At 41.2% G+C, this 17,584-nt stretch overlaps 1 protein-coding gene and 1 long non-coding RNA gene across 11 annotated transcripts in view; one reads left to right on the top strand and one right to left on the bottom strand.

Moving 5' to 3' along the window:
* The window catches only part of LAMB4 (laminin subunit beta 4), a 118,700-nt gene that overhangs the window by 95,961 nt on the left and 5,155 nt on the right, over nucleotides 1-17,584 (top strand). For 2 of the 10 annotated variants that reach the window (XR_927421.2, XR_927422.2), the window contains exons 31-34: nucleotides 55-193; nucleotides 3,422-3,595; nucleotides 5,205-5,358; nucleotides 16,529-16,614. Coding sequence is in view for 8 of the 10 variants with exons in the window: in XM_011515975.2 (XP_011514277.1) it covers nucleotides 55-193; nucleotides 3,422-3,595; nucleotides 5,205-5,358; nucleotides 13,719-13,801; nucleotides 16,529-16,614 (636 nt within the window). In the remaining 2 variants the exon portion in view is untranslated. Of the gene's footprint in view, nucleotides 1-54; nucleotides 194-3,421; nucleotides 3,596-5,204; nucleotides 5,359-7,485; nucleotides 7,832-10,222; nucleotides 10,849-13,718; nucleotides 13,802-14,489; nucleotides 14,550-16,528; nucleotides 16,615-17,584 lie in introns of those variants that run through there. The other 8 variants (NM_001318046.2, NM_007356.3, XM_011515975.2 and 5 more) reach the window with 7 other exon arrangements.
* On the bottom strand, nucleotides 11,968-13,461 carry LOC107986834 (uncharacterized). Its single transcript, XR_001745319.1, has 3 exons — nucleotides 13,297-13,461; nucleotides 13,094-13,182; nucleotides 11,968-12,418 (listed from the first exon to the last, which is right to left on the bottom strand). It is a non-coding gene; the product is annotated as an uncharacterized LOC107986834 (long non-coding RNA).

Genomic DNA, 17,584 nt, shown 5'->3' with positions numbered 1-17,584 from the left:
ATAAGTGAATAATTGTGTATTTATCTAATCTGATATGTTAATATCTTACCTTAGGAAAGCAGCAAATATTCTATTAAATCTTGACAAAACATTGAACCAGTTACAACAAGCTCAAATCACTCAAGGACGGGCAAACTCTACCATTACACAGCTGACTGCCAATATAACAAAAATAAAAAAGAATGTGCTGCAGGTATTTGTCTTCTTTGAAACTAACCTGAAATAGGTTTTGAGGGTAAAAACAACACAGTGCTTTTTATGTATGCCAATGCTATGCTTGCTTTACGAGTCTGATGGGATTATTATGAGGATAAATAAGATTTGGGTAGTATTATGCATGTATTTAATGTTCTACAGAGCACGTCTCACCGTCATATTAATTGCGACCAATTCTGGGGTTGCACCAAGGCAGGTACTAACACCAGCTTGGAAATGAGGAAACTATGACTCAGGAAAGTTAGGTGACTGCCTAAGGTCACACAGCTAATTAGTGGTAGATATGAGGCCAGAGCATCTCCCTTCTGATACCAGGGAAAGGAATAGACTTTTTAAAAGCTCACAAAAACCAAAGAAATGAGTTAACTATTGTAACATTCTTATAATTAAATGTGCATGAAATCTCATCAGAGTATCCTAAAACTAAAAAAAAAAAAAAAAAAAAAAAATACTCATCCAAAAGAAATGCTCCATCTGGCCAGGCATGGTTGCTCACACCTGTAATCCCAGCACTTTGGGAGGTCAAGGTGGGTGTATCACCCGAGGTGAGGAGTTCGAGACCAGCTGGGCCAACATGGTGAAACCCCGTCTCTATGAAAAATACAAAAATTAGCCAGGCATGGTGGCAGGCACCTATAATCCCAGCTACTTGGAAGGCTGAGGCAACAGAATCGCTCCTCCAGGGGGCGGAGGTTGCAGTGAGCCGAGATTGTGCCACTGCACTCCAGTCTAGGCAACAGAGCGAGACTGTCTCAAAACAAACAAACAAAGCAGAAAGCAACAGAACAAGAAGTAATACACGAGGAAATAAAGGGGTTGGATAGGAAGAGGTTGCATATATGGGGTAGTAAAAAGGAAGGCCCCAGGATTTCCCCTTCTAGGCATATACTTAGAACAAGGGATGGCAAAACATGACCACAGGCTGTATTGTCTATGGATGCTTTTGCACTACAATGACAGAGAGTTAAATATTTGGGATAGAGACTTTATAGGCCACAAAGTATAAAGTATTTACTAGCTGGCCCTTTACAGAAAAAGTTTGCAGGTTGCTGCTCTAGGCAAACTCCCACATATGCCCAAGGGTACAGGAAGGGACTTCCATTTCTAAAAATATGGTGAACCAATCTCTTAAGGAACCCTGGTAGTTGAAAAAAACACATAAAAATATTAGATTGGATATTTAGATTTTTTAATGCATAGCTGAATTAGTAAGAAACTTTTGATAGTCTCAGAGGCCAAAAATGACAGGAAAGCATGAATTTAGAGGTAATCAAGCACTAACTTGACAGCAGGCAGCAGGCATCTGCCCATCCCTGGAGCATTCAAGCTTTGGGTTTTAATGGTCACCATGCATATAAGACAGAAAGCAAAGGCCACACAGGAGGCAACAAGATTCTTGCATAGAACTGGGACCCCAAATGGCAAAATCCTTAATGAAATGTTAAAATCTCTCTGTCACACACACACACACACACACACACACACACACGCAAACACACAGAGTCAGTAGAAAAACTTGCCCCTGGGTTGGGGAGTAACATCTCCACTAAGATTTGCTAACCGCGATTGTGGCTCTAACACAATTTTGGGGCTAGAATTTATACTACCTGGGTGGCCCTCAAAACCCTGGTATCATTTGAAGTAGCCCTGGGTTGGTAGGGCTCCCAGATGCCTGGCAGAGGCAAACAAAAATCCTCTCCAAAGGAACAACCTTAAAACCTAGCCATCAAGAATTTCCCCCAGACGTGTAAAGAAACAAATTGCCTTTTTAAAGATTTTTTTTTTTTATTTTTTTGGGATGGAGTCTCGCTCTATCACCCAGGCTGGAGTGCAATGGCACAATCTCGGCTCACTGCAACCTCCACCTCCTGGGTTCAATCAAGTCTCCTGCCTCAGCCTCCCGAGTAGCTGGGATTACAGGTGCGTACCACCAAGCCCAGCTAATTTTTGTAATTTTAGAAGAGACGAGGTTTCGCCATGTTGGCCAGACTGGTCTTGAACTCCTGACCTCAGGTGATCTACCCACCTTGGCCTCCCAAAGTCCTGGGATTACAGGCGTAAACCACCGTGCCCAGCCACAAATTGCCTTTAAACAAGAGTCATCAGAAATAATGAACAACAAAATCAGGACACAACAGACAGAGGATATTACCATTATTGGATACAAAATACAAAATAAGATTGTTTACTATGTTTAAGAAAATCTAAGAATGTATGAAAGTATGACCAACAAACAAGAGACAATGTCTAACAACCAGCTATATTTGAAAAATATTTAAATAGGACTTCTAGATATGATCAATATGGTCACTGAAATAAGAAACAAGCATAAAGTGTTATTACTGTTTGTAAGGGGAAAAAATTAGAAGCCACTTGCACCAGCCGGAGAATAGAAAATACATTGTTGTATGTTCAAACAATGGAATGCTTTAAACTGGTAAAAATTAATGAACTAGAGCTATGTAAATTAGCTTAAATGACCTACATAAGCATAATTTTCATAACTTTTCATTTTAGAAAATCAACTTGCAGAAATATACAATATATTTGTATAAGGTGAAAAAAAATTTTAATACTATATATTGTTAGGAATACTGCATAGGTTGTAGAAAAAATGCTATAGAGATACATGGAATGACAGAAGTTAGATTCAAGATAGTGGTTGTCTTTGAGGGGAGAGAGAGAAGATATAATGGGGAGTGGTACGCTGAGGGCCTTAGCTCATTGTTAATGTTTTATTCTTAAACTGGCTGGTGGATACATGGCTATTCGTTATATTTTTTCTTTTTTTCTCTTCGCTCTTTTTTTTTTTTTTCTTTTCCTTTTTCTTTTTTTTCTTTTTTTTTTTTTTTTGTTATTGTTGAGACAAGTTATCTCTTTGTCACCCAGGCCGGAGTGCAGTGGCACAATCACAGCTTACTGCATCCTCAACCTCCTGGGCTCAAGCAATCCTCCTGCCTCAGCCTCCCGAGTACTGGGACTACAGGCATGCACCCCACGCTAGGCTAACGTTATATTTTTCAGACCCTTTTGTATGTCTGAAATATTTTATTATAATATTTTAAATAAATGCAACAGAAAAAGTGGAGGCACTATTTTCTTTTCCTTTACACCCAGCATATTTTTCAAGGGGTTAATATATCGTTTATCTTCTTGTTTGTTTCATAAAGAGATTTTCCCTTTTTGGTCTTTAAATCAACAACAGGCTGAAAATCAAACCAGGGAAATGAAGAGTGAGCTGGAGTTAGCAAAGCAGCGATCAGGGCTGGAGGATGGACTTTCCCTGCTGCAGACCAAGTTGCAAAGGCATCAAGACCACGCTGTCAATGCGAAAGTTCAGGCTGAATCTGCCCAACACCAGGCTGGGAGTCTTGAGAAGGTCATTAGTTCTACCACTGCCACCAAGAGCAGAAAAGCAGGGCTTCTTTGAAAGATAGTTCTTTAACCCCAGATTTTTGTGCCATTTCTCATCATTTCCTTTGTGCTGGTCCATGACTCAATGGTATATCTTTGAGGGGATCCTGATGCACAAAGGATTTTCTATCTGTAGAAGGCAGAAGTCCCTGGCCAAATCATGTTGGAGTGTTTCCTCCCCCATCTCTCTATCCTATTATTCTTAGTAGTATCCTGGTCAATCAGTCCATAAATCAAATTTGCCCCGAACTTCCAAACTTTTCACAATTTATGTTGTTTGTCTGTATTGTATGTTTTTGCCCTCTATTCTCATTCAGTCACACAACATATAAAGAAAACAATAAATGAAAGTCACCTGCCAAAGAAAATACATCAAGTTACAAAAATCAGAATGAGTTAATTAAACAGTTGTGGAAAGTGGGCCATTAATTTAGGTTGCTGAAAGAACCTATCAGCTCATTTTCCTAGCAAGAAACCTTTGGTTGGTTGCATTAATATAGTTGCCTAAACAAAAGAAAAATGTTAGTGTATTTACATTTGGTCTATTCTCCTGCTTTTAATTCCTAATGTGCTGGGTAAATTTTCCACTGACAGGAACTGAGAACATTTTCTGTGGAACAGAGATTGAGAAAAGTTCTTTTTTTTTTTTTTTGTGAGACAGAGTCTCTCTCTGTCACCAGACTGGAATGCAGTGGCTCAGTCTCAGCTCATTGCAACTTCTGACCCCCTGGTTCAAGCAATTCTGCTGCCTTTGCCTCCTGAGTAGCTGGGATTACAGCCACGTGCCACCACGCCCAGCTAATTTTTGTATTTTTAGTAGAGACAGGGTTTCACCATGTTAGCCAGGATGGTCTCAATCTCCTAACCTCATGATCCGCCTGCCTCGGCCTCCTAAAGTGCTGGGATTACAGGCGTGAGCCACCACGCCTGGCCAAGAAAGGTACTTTCTACTCGCCCCGTTCCCACTTCCATATTTCATTTCTGGCTTTGGCCTTTATTCATCTACTTAACCTTCTAGGTTGTCAACACACAAGGTAACCCACAGATTTCCATTCTATTCAAGGGGGATCTCCATACCACACTTCTACTTCCCCACCTGCCTCCCTTCCTACCTCATTTCTCTCTCACCTTTTTGCCAACCAAATAACATATCCTTGATGTTTCTAAATCTTCATCACTCACTCCGTCCTTCATTTTACATATATAACTGATTGACCGAACTGAACCAGAGATTTGTCAAGGATGGGATTGGGTCATTTCTGTCTTCCATATCCTACCTTAACATAGAGCAGAACAACCAATTGGTGCCTCAGACATAGTTGCCTTAACATGCAATAACAATTGCTATTTTGAACAAAGAAGTTTTATTTTTAATAGAAGTTGACATTTTTTTCAATCTGAAAAAACAAACATGCAAATAAAACTCTGCCGGAAATATCAGAGCAACTCAAGTGTATTGACTGGATTAAGGTTTCCTCTGTATTCCTTCTATGAATGGAATTAGGAGAATCATCATGCATATATGTACATGCTTTATACATATTTTCTCATGATGCAAGTGTTGCTTGTTACAGGAATTTGTTGAGCTGAAAAAACAATATGCTATTCTCCAACGTAAGACAAGCACTACAGGACTAACAAAGGAGACATTAGGAAAAGTTAAACAGCTAAAAGATGCGGCAGAAAAATTGGCTGGAGATACAGAGGCCAAGATAAGAAGAATAACAGGTATCTGTTCTTTTATCCATCCTGCCAATTTGATAATAACATCATGGTACTCTACCTTACTAGTAGAATTTATACCAATGTCAGCTTACAGTTTTATCACTTGGGTCCACTGAGGAGAGAGAAGTAGAAATTGGTCTTGTGTTTTGGGGACTGTGAAGTTAACAAGCCTCTTGCATGGATTTGCCTAGAAAGGTTAATGAGCATCTGCCTTGCATTAGTCAAAACAAACTGAGATTTCCTTTGGTCACCTTGAAATGCCCTTTTTTGGCTGGGCACAGTGGCTCACACCTGTAATCCCAGCATTTTGGGAGGCCAAGGCGGGTGGATCACCTGAGGTCAGGAGTTCGAGATCACTCTGGCCAACATGGAGAAACCCCGTTTCTACTAAAAATACAAAAATTAGCCAGGCGTGGTGGTGGGTGCCTGTAATCCCAGCTACTTGGGAGGCTGAGGCAGGAGAATTGCCTGAACCTGGGAGGCAGAGGTTGCAGTGAGCCAAGATCATGCCACTGCACTCCAGCCTGGGTGACAGAGTGAGACTCCATCTCAAAAAAAAAAAAAAAAAAAAAATGCCCTTTTTTTCTAACTCTGTTCTCAACGGGGGGTGAGATGTCTGAAGACATTTCTGCTTGTCATCCTAGAAGGTACTACTAGCATGTACTGGGTAGAGGGCAGGGATGTTGCTAAAAATCCCACAATGCACAAGGCAACTGCCTAAGCAAACAATTGTCCCGCCCAAAATGTCAATAGTGCTGAGATTAAGAAACCCTGTTCTAACCTATGTTGTTTATTTTTCCTCTCATGAAAATAACTCTCCAAAAGAATCAATATAATCTAGGGCACTAGGTCATCTAGCATATATCTTTGGATAGCAACCCAGAAAGAATCATATTCTAGACAAGGATTTTGATCTAAATGGACATTCTGATGCACACAAAGTGTTGCAAACATGGAATACCGGCCAGGCGCGGTGGCTCACACCTGTAATCCCAACACTTTGGGAGGCTGAGGCAGATGGACTGCTTGACCCCAGGAGTTTGAGACCAGCCTGGCCAATATGGCAAAACTCTATCTCTACTAAAAATAAAAAAAATTAGCCAGGCGTGGTGGCACATGCCTGTAATCCCAGCTACTCGGGAGGCTGAGGCAGGAGAATCGCTTGAACCCAGGAGGCGGAGGTTGCGGTGAGCCAAGATCACGCCACTGCACTCCAACCTGGGCAACAGAGAGAGACTCTGTCTCAAAAACAAAACAAAAAACATAAAATACATACAATCAGAAAGCTAATCAGAATCTTTTTTTACACAATTGATATTTATGATTTTTGGGGGCAATCATGTCCTTAACTATCTCTAACCATCAAGAAATATCAGATGGTAATTTTATAGTTTTACCCTTGGTTGTATTTATTATCTTCTAAAACTTTAAAACTAGGAGTGTAAGTAATTCTCAAAATATTAAAGTAACCAAAACTCCTCACTTATAGATGCCTCTTTTTTATTATCAAATGAGTCTTTGGCCTTACAACCACTTATATCATTACTATGACATGAAAAAACTGAAAATGGAACATTAGTATGGGCCAAAGTCAGGAAAAATACATACCAAACTGCTAACATTAGTTATCTCTAGGGAGGCAGTGGGAGTGAAGAAGAAACCACTGCTTCTTGCACTTATATAATTGCTTTAAAAGCAGCAGGCTTGTGGGTAATTTTTTTTCATTTTTAAGTATTTTCGTTAAAATGTTATTTTAACTATGAAATACTAAGAAAGATTCAGAGAAACAGATTTTTTTTTTAATCTTGCATTCAACACCTCCGTGCTGAACTGAGATGGAGACTGCTCACCCTCCCATCCTCTGACCACTTGTCAGACAATACCATGAAAGTCAGTTTCTATTATCCTAGAACTTGGCCCTTACTCTAGGAGTAAAAACATGGGGAGAATATTTCTGTCCTGTTTTTATGTCATATTGTTTATGTCATACACACATTGTTTCCACTGATCCCCATTGACCACAGCTTTTATAGTTCTTGAAATTAGATTGGAAGAGAAGTTGAAGTTAGAGGGCTTCTCAGGGAGGTCTAAAATAAGGCATTCTACTGCCTTTTCTCTTTTCCTTTTGAGGCTGTTTTCAGAACTCAGCAAGATAGAAAAATGAGACATTGATTTGGCTGTCTTCCCCATGCTGCCACTTGAGAAGGGGCGGAACCACAAGGCTGTGCCTGTTCCTCTCTGTTAGGAAGAGGAGCCCCTGGATCCCAGTATGGAGCCCTTGGCAGCAACAATGTTGAGAGAGTGGGGAATGGACTCTAGTCTTCAGCCAGGGTCCTTCCACAGAACTTGGTGTCAGTCGGGGTCCCAGCAAGAAACAGAAAGCATGCGTGGGCATAATTTTGGATAAAGTATTTAGAAGTGGAGTTGTCTCAGTCATTTATTCACTGCATAATAAATTACCCCAAAATGTAATGGCTTAAAATAACCACCATTTCTTACTTTTCTGTGGGTTGCCTGGCTGGTTCTTCGACAGGTCTCACCTGGGTTTCTCAAGCAGCTGCGTTAGGCTGATGGCCTGTTAGGGGCCAGGTGTGGCTGAGATGCTGGCACTCTCTCTACGTGGTCTGTTACCCTGGGCTGCTTTACAGCTTGGTTGTTTCAGGGCACCACAAGAGTGAGAAGAGAGGATGAAAGGTTCTTGAGGTCTTGCAACATCAGTTCTTCCGCTTTTCTATTAGTCAAAACAACTTATAAAGCCAGTCCAGATTCGGGGGCGTGGGGGTAGGAACAGGGTAAGTAGATTCTACTTCTTGATGGGAAGAACTACAAAGAATGCACAAGAATGAAGGGAACCCACTGAGGCTGTGGAGGTACTTGGTGACTAGCAGCAGTGAGAAGGCATTAGCCTCTCTACACCTGAAGGGGCCAGGGAAGCAGGAACGTTACCAGAGCCCTGTGAACACCAGAGTGTTAGGAAAGAGGCCACCCCACAGGAGCCTGAGGGATGGAAGAACTGCATACACCTCCGTGCTGAACTGAGATGGAGACTGCTCATCCTCCTATCCTCTGACCACTTATCAGCACTGTCCATTGGCCATGTGTGAATGAAAGCCAGAGGTCAAGGGAGCCAAGTGCTGTTATCCAGGAAGGGTAGCTTTCCAGAACACAGACGAGGATGGCGAATGGGTCTGGTGTAACCAGCTCAATCATATTAACTTTCCGGGTACAAACAGAGGCCTTTATTATTCCTTTAGTCCAAATATGGTTTCAATGTTGAATCCCCTTTTCAATCCCAAATAACCTACATTTGAAAGTTTCAGCCAGGTGTGGTGGCCCATGCCTGTTATCCCAGCACTTTGAGAGGCTGAGACGGGCAGATCACCTGAGGTTGGGAGTTCAAGACCAGCCTGACCAACATGGAGAAACCCCATCTCTACTAAAAGTACAAAATTAGCCAGACATGGTGGCCTATGCCTGTAATCCCAGCTACTCAGGAGGCTGAGGCAGGAGAATCGCTTGAACCCAGGAGGCGGAGGTTGCAGTGAGCTGAGATCACGCCATTGCACTCCAGCCTGGGCAACAAGAGCAAAACTCTGTCTCAAAAAAAAAAAAAGAAAGAAAGAAAGAAGAAAGAAAGAAAGAAAGAAAGAAAGAAAAGAAAAGAAAAGAAAGAAAGAAAGAATCTAGTGACAGAACACTCACCACCTTCCACATTAGCTCTTTCATCTTTGAGCAGCCATGACTCCTAGAGAGTTTTTTATATTTAGACAAAATCTTCCTTCGTGGAGCTTCACCTGCTAGTTTCCATTTTATTGCCTCAGGATGACAGAGAACACATTTACTCTGCTTTCCTAGGTTGGCCCTTCAGATACTTGAAAACAGCCACGGCACATGCCCTGAATCTGCCTTCCTCATATGAAACATCACCAGTTAATTCAATGTTTGTTTACAGGACAGTTTCAAGTATCTTCAGCAATCTGATTCTTTTTTCTAAACACATGTTAGTTTGACAATTACTCCAAACCAACTCGGTATTCAGGTGTGATCTGACCAAATGAAGTGAGACATTTACCTTCCCTCTTCTAGAAGCTATCTTCCCTCTTTTAGAAGTTTTGCAAAAACTCTAATGTCAGAGTTTCTTTGCAAAATGCTGCCTCACATTATTAACTGTAGCTCTCTATGCCTCTTGTATCCACTTATATAGTCTCCTTGTTAAGGTTTACTAGAATTTCCAGATATTTGTTGAATGAAGACTATATAAATGAATGTATAGATAGATGGATGGATGGACGGATGGACGGACGGATGGATGGATGGATGGATGGATGGATCAATGGATCGATGGATGGGTCAATGGATGGGTCGACGGATCAATGGATTGATGGATGGATAGGAGTGAAGCCAAGGCATCACTTAGCTGTTACTGTTCAGGGACTTCAATATCAGCAGGGAGGAATCAACACATGAAAGTCAGTCTTTTTTTCTGAAAGATTGGAAAACACTAAAGAACATGTTTTAAAATGAAGCTAAAATAATAAGAACAAACCTTTGGAAATATAGCACTTCAGCAAATCCCATCAAGGATGTTATCTGTCTTTTCATTTCTAATGAATTCTAACCAACTATAGCCTCACATTGATAAATGCCTTTAGATATAAAAGTTTTTAGACAAAATTGTCAGTTTGCTCTAATTTATGTGAAAACCTTGAGAAGCCTGATGAAAATAGATGATTTATCCATTGAATCCAAACAGAAAACTAAATATATCTTTGAGAGGCGCATAAATCCCTGTGTTTGGTATAATGTAGGTATCCAGCAGGAATCCATTAAATGGAAATATATCATTTCTTTCATTTTCTTCTTTCAGATTTAGAAAGGAAAATCCAAGATTTGAATCTAAGTAGACAAGCAAAAGCTGATCAACTGAGAATATTGGAAGATCAAGTTGTTGCCATTAAAAATGAAATTGTTGAACAAGAAAAAAAATATGCTAGGTGCTATAGCTAGGCAGAGTTAAAGAGCAAAAGCTTGTGCCTTTGTTTCTGGTTTCTGATGTACAAGCCCCTGGGGCTCTGTTGAACCTGTGAAATACTGACAATGTCTTCTACCTTCCTTCCCCACACCCTGTCCTTATTAGACACCTGCTCAGTGTGGCTGGAGGTTGAAATGCCACCAGGAAAATGCCACTTCATAATTGAAAGGGGAAAGTAATGAAATTGTCTCTGGTTTCAGAAACTTTTCCTCTTACCTTCCTTTCTCTTTCCTAACTTAAAAATAACAGTTTCCATATAACAAGTAGAAATTTAAGTAAGTACTCTACTAACTAATAATCATTTCAGTCAGATAAACCTAAACATTAAATAAATATCTCCAATATTAGGATGGAATACATATGTATGGCATGTACTAGATTGTCCTATATTTTATGTTTATTTGGATTTGCTTTTATTTGTAAAATTATTCTTTTCTGAATAAACTGCATACAATTCAAAATGCAACTTGCTTTTATACCTACGTTCCTACATGGTCATTCTCAGCCAGGGAATTCTGTTTTCCCCAAGTAGAACTGGAACAATATTCAAAAAGATAAATATTGAACTACTTCTCCTCATTTATCAGTGGACATTTTTGCTTTAAAATGTGTTGCTTATTTTTAAAAGACTATCAATCATGTTCTTATTGTTTAGTATAAAAGATAAGATTGTCTCATTTCAAAATGAGTCTGATTTCATACTAACTATTTTTGCACGTATGATTTCTAATAGAGCAAATTGCTTCTGTTTGTGAAAGCGATCCTTCAGAAAGTTTATTTTAAGTGAGTTTGGTTTCACATTTTTGAATAAGAAATAATATACATCAACATTGATAAATGAAAAAGGAAGATCTGCTGGAGCATTTCCATTAAGGACTGACTCATAAAAAATAGATTTAAAGCCAGGCATGGTGACTCATGCCTATAATCCCAGCACTTTGGGATGCCAAGGAAGGCGGATCATCTGAGGTCAGGAGTTCGAGACCAGCCTGGCCAACATGGTGAAACCTTGTCTCTACTAAAAATACAAAAAAATCAGCTGGGCATGGTGGTGCACGCTTGTAATCCCAGCTACTCAGAGGCTGAGGTAGGAGAATAGCTTAAATCCAGGAGGAAGGGGTTGCAGTGAGCCGAGATCAAGCCACTGCACTCTAGCCTGGGTGACAGAGCAAGACCCTGTCTCAAAAAACAAAACAAACAAACAAAAAAGATTTAAAAATTCAACAAAAGGGCTTTAGAATTATACATAAATATGAAAATTCTTAAAATGTAGGCTGTTACAGAAAATTGCAGAATCTATTTCCCTAGAGATCCTGAAGAATAGAAAGAAACTTTTCTACAGGAAGGACCACCCCAGAAAGCTCTCTTGAAGTATATAATTACAATGGTTCACATATCCAGCCTTGAGACTTTAGTTATCTAAAAAAAAATCTATATATGTAAAAAATCTCATTCCTCAGTAATGCCAGATAAATCATTCTAACTTCTATTACTTGCTGTATCAGTTGTTCAAGATGTGACCAATGCAAGATTCAGTGAAACAGTGTCTCTTTACATTTTAAAGTATTAACAATTTGACAGTGTGTATCATGAGCTATTATAAAATTCAGTAATTCCACTGTGGAACCTGTATGTTAAGAAAATAATCTTAAAGATGGAGGGAAAAGCTTTGTGGCTAATTCATTGAAGCACATCTTATATTAAAAATTCAAAGAAGCTAAGTAACTAACAATAAACCAATTAAACGTTAGGATTTTACCAGTCTGAGTTCTTGGATGCAATCACTGAAAACCAGCAGTAGCTTATTAAGCAGGAAAGGAATTTATTCAAAGGATATCTGACAGCATACAAAAAGAAATGGCTGGAGAAAATGTAACTAAGGACAACTATGCATCAGGCGATATTTCCAAGACCACACCTCAGTACACTCAGGTTAGGAGGCCAATGCTGTCCTCCTTGGACACTCACCACCATCCCAGTGACTTGCAGCTGTCTCTCTGTCTTGTATCACTCTCTCAGTACTCAGCAACCCTGGAAGAAGTAATCCAGTTGGCCGGGCCTCTTCATGTGCCCTCGGTACCATATTGACTAAATAGAGAGAATATCTATTCCCTTTGACTTTGGTAGTAGAAGGGGAGTTTTTCCTCTACTTATCTTTGGAATCCTCCAAGATAGGAAGGATTTTGATGCCAGGTATCAAAAAAATTATAAATTTCTATTAAATGTAATCAATATGAATAAAGTTAACCTCTTTGACTTCCAAATATCATAATACATTCTTCATCCCATTTTCCTTTTTTTTTTGAGACAAAGTTTTGCTCTTGTTGCCCAGGCTGGAGTGCAATGGTGTGATCTCGGCTCACCGCAACCTCAGCCTCCCGGCTTCATGCGATTCTCCTGCCTCAGCCTCCCGAGTAGCTGAGATCACAGACATGTGCCACCACGCCCGGCTAATTTTGTATTTTTAGTAGAGACAGAGTTTCTCCATGTTGGTCAGGCTGGTCTCAAACTCCCGAACTCAGGTGATCCACCCGCCTCGGCCTCCCAAAGTGCTGTGATTACAGGCGTGAGCCACCATGCCCGTCCCCCATTTTCCCTTCTAAAGTAAAAATAAGTGCTTCTACCAAACAAAATATAGCACTCAGCCAAATGAAAGCACACCCACATTGTCTTCAAGGGAAACCAACCCACAGTCTCATCACTCACCAAGTGCATCCAGCTCTGAAACCTTGGCCTCCAGCTGAGGTCCACTTCTTCCGCACTTCAGCTAATAATTCCTTCTGGAAATACTGCAACTTATAATCAAAATTGTAAAGTTAACCACCAACAAATACCAAATATAGACTACTGAGGGAGGAAAGGGAGATAAAAATGAAATATATTTTATAATTAAAAATATAAATACACACAAAACATAGCATATTGAGAAACACAGATTGAGGATGTAGACTTTGTCTTTGTAACCACTCAGGAGGCTTTCACTGGGATTTAAGATCTGCTTTCTCTACTGCTCCTTCCATGGTCCCTCTGGTCCTAGTCACATCCATCTGTTGCCACTGTGAACCAGCAGCTCTATTTATCTTTGTCAGGATCAATTACACCAGCCAAAATTATACACCCCCCTTTTTTGCCTGTTTATCCTTTACAGCTTGAAATAGCTGGGTATTGGTACATATTCTAATTCAGTGGAACAACCATTATATTATCGAGTAAAAACACACTTCCTTAGAGATTAGGGCCCAAAGTCACAGGTACAAAAAGGAACCTTTTGCTTGTGAGTCATTCGGATATAATTGTGATCAGTATCATGCATTTCCACTTTTGGTTTCAGATCCATGTATTCTGCCTATAGGAGGTTCCATCAGCTTTCATTGTAGAAGGCACAGCTCTGCCTCCCATCTAAGAGGATTTAATGTGAGTAGCCAAAATAAATAAATAAAAAGAATTAAAGGATGTAAAGAACCTATATGTAGTCAATTGATAATATTTATATGCAACAACAACATGCATACTTTTTCTTTTCTTTTTTTTTTTTTTTTTTTTGAGATGGAGTCTTGCTCTGTCACCTAGGCTGGAGTGCAGTGGCACGATCTCGGCTCACTGCAACCTCTGCTTCCCAGGTTCAAACGATTCTCCTGGCTTACCCTCCCGAGTAGCTGGGATTACAGGCATGTGCCACCATGCCTGTCTAATTTTGTATTTTTAGTAGAGACAGGGTTTCACCATGTTGGCCAGGCTGGTTTTGAACTCCTGACCTTGTGATCTGCCCACCTCAGCCTCCCAAAGTGCTGGGATTACAGCATCAATCTAATCATTTTCTTAATTCGAGTTGACTGAAAATGACATCTCCCCAACACTAGGAGATCTGATAAGGTGTGTGAGGGACCAGCGTGAAGAAGTCGGGATGGAATCTGCACATCCCAGAGTAGGGGATAAGTGAGGGGAGGAGTCAGAGAGCCCACGTTTGAACCCCAGAGGCCAGGTAGAAGTATTTGGAACCCAGCTAGCCACATCAGAAAATCAATATGAAGATCAGAAAGCAAGTTGCCATGAGGTAGCTGGTGTGGCCCATTAAAGGAGACTATCCTGTATCTTCTCCCAGATTAGAAACCAATCACAGATGAAGGACAGCTGAGACCCAACAGGTGAAAACAATTAGGCAGAAGCACTGGCATGGCACAATGAAGGGAAGGAAAGCTGAAAGCAGACCCTGGCAAGAACACATGAGCCTCATGAGGCTCAGGCTGGAAATTGCTGTCTGACATCCATTCTACTCCTTCTTCCTTTTGGTAATAGGACTTCTCCACATTTTAACCAGGCACACAGCTGCCTAGCGAGAGAGACTGTATTTCAACCTCCCTTGCAGTTTGATGTGACCATGTGACTAAATTCTGGCCAACAGATGAGTGTCAATGTTGTGTGCAACTTCCAGGGCACAACCCTAAAAGGAAGTTGTTTGTCGTTTGTGGGAGAGGCAGAATTATGGCCCCCAAAAGACGTCCACATCCTAATCTCAAGAACCTGTGAATATATTACGTTACATGGCAAAGGGAAAGTTGACAGAATGAAGGTCTTCATCAACTGGCTTTGAGATGGGGAGAGGATGCTGGATTTTCCAGGTGGGCCCCGTGTAATCACAAGGGTTCTCTCAAGTGGAAGAGAAGGCAGGAGAGAGTCAGAGGGACAGCAGCACGGGAGGATTGACCTGATGTTGCTGGCTTTGAACATGAAGGAAGGGGCCAATGGCTGAGGAAGGTAAGTTGTCCCTAGAAGCTGGAAAAAGCAAGGAAAGAGATGCTTCCTTAGAGCCTCCTGGAAGGAATACCACTATGCCAACACATTGATTTTAGCCCTGAATTGGACTTTTAACCTACAGAACTATGAGATAAATTTATGTCATTTAAAGCCACTAAGTGTGTGGATATTTGTTACAGCAACAAGAGGAAACAAAAACACCCTCCATTTGTTTCCCCCCTACCTTCAATTGGGTGGGAATATGGAGAGCCGGCTATCCCCATGCACATGAAGATAATACTGTGAAACAAGGTGGAAGAAACAGGTCCCTGGTTGACTGTACAAGTAAGGGTCCTACCAGGAAACACGGGACACACCTGGGGCAGTTCCATAAGGGAGCTATTTACAAAGATATGGGTAGGGTGGATGAAAGCCATAAAAGATAATACAGCATCCCAGAGCCAGCACCAGGCAGGGGACATCCCCACCCTTGGTTTGAGGGGTAAAGCGAGAGGGTGACAACTGAACATTGAAGGCAGACTGTGTAGGAGGGCCTCTTTTTTGTTTTTGTTTTTGAGACGGAGTCTTGCTCTGTTGCCCAGGCTGGAGTGCAGTGGCGCGATCTCAGCTCACTGCAACCTCCGCCTCTTAGGTTCAAGGATACAGGCACGTGCCACCATGCCCAGCTAATTTTTTGTATTTTTAGTAGAGACAGGGTTTCACCTTGTTAGCCAGGATGGTCTTGATCTCCCGACCTCATGATCCACCCACCTCGGCCTCCCAAAGTGCTGGGACTACAGGCATGAGACACCGCGCCTGGCCAGGAGGGCCTCTTAACAGGAGCTGTGATCTTTGGACAAGGGATACAACCAGCCACGACAACCCTGCAGAGGACATTGGGGCATGGATGCCCTGATGGCACGCTCCTCCATGTCCAGTCTCTTACTGGTGGCTCCCATTGGCTAAACCAAGGGCCTGGGGTGATGTTCCCATGTAGATCAGCCTCCACAGGCACAGAGAAGGGGGCAAATAGATGTGGGGAGGCACAATGCCCTTGTGGATTAAAACTGTGTGTGTCTGACTCCTTTGGACTAACAACCAGCTTAAACTTGCACATAAAGAAAAGCACACATCTCCTTAGGTGCCTGTGACTTTGGCCTCTGTTACAGCAGCTGAACCAGCATCCTCATTAGTCTCTTTGCGGGTACCCCAACTCCTTGCCAAACTGCTAAAATTGTCCTCTATGCCCTGCTGCATGGGCACAGTGGACCAAGGATCAGGTGATAAATGCGAAGAGCATGGTTTGTCCCCTGCATGACCTTAGGCGATTCACAGCCTGCCTGAATTTCATGTCCTCATTTCCTTTAGCTGTAAAATGCTAATAAATATACCTGGTCTCCCTCCTAGGGTTACAGAGCTAATTCGAATGAAAGAGCTTTGAGAAGAGTGAGATATTACAGGAATCCTTCAAGACCTCACTATTATTACACTGTGTAAGTTACACCTGCATTCTCCTTCTGAACCATTGCTCCTATGGTCCTGCCTACTTTAAAATTGTCATCTCTCTCCCAAACCTAACCTTTTCCTATAGCCCTAGGGCTCCTTTTCTAGCCTCACTCAAAGCCCTTTTTCTGGAGTTCCTGTATTGTCACTTGGCTGATATGCCTTTTCTAACCAGACATCAAGTTTTATGAGGACTCACAGCATGCATTTGCACACGTTTAAGTCCTTTAGAGAATGTAGCACAGTGTGGAGCACTCTAAATAAATACTTATTCACTTTAAGTATTAGTTCCATAAATTGACTCCAATTTTATGAGAAGACAGTCCCCTGTTTTGTTCTTTCACCTTTCCTGCCCTCCACCCTGTTTCTTCTCTCCCCTTGGAAGAGAGCCAGAAAAAAAGCAATTTATTTTTTCTTCTTGCAACATGAAACAGCCTAGGTAGGATGTCTCTTAACACCTGCTCATCCATCAGCACCTAGCTTTTCTCTTCTGAAGAACTTGAACCTACATATAATCTTTATCTTTACTCATTACATGTTAAAAGTGGCCACTCTAGAAGGCTTCCCCCTCCCTAACAACCTGCCTCTGATTCAGCCTGCCAGCTGAACGAGCTTTCAGTGATACAAAGTAAGCTTGCCACAACATGTATTACACATATTTAATCAGAATGTACAGAGTTTTTGAGCAGAGATACAGTGTTTTCTTCATATTCATAAACTCTGTGACTAACAGTTAAGTGTCTAAGATTCATAGCAGTATCTGACATAGTTCCACACACAACCACAGTTCACTTTGATGGCAAACACCAAAACTAGGAGGCAGGAGGTTGGCTGCACTTTATCTCACATTCACTAGGTGGCAACAGATTAAGTGTGCTATATTTCAAAGCTCTCTCCAGTCATCCCAACATGGCACCAAGAACTAAAATCTAATCTTTAGTACTGTTATTTCCTTACAGT

Source organism: Homo sapiens, chromosome 7 (assembly GCF_000001405.40).
Source record: "Homo sapiens chromosome 7, GRCh38.p14 Primary Assembly".
Classification (NCBI taxonomy): Eukaryota; Metazoa; Chordata; class Mammalia; order Primates; family Hominidae; genus Homo; species Homo sapiens.
The sequence above is the reverse complement of the archived record's forward strand: the minus strand, read 5'-3'. Positions and strand labels throughout refer to the sequence as shown.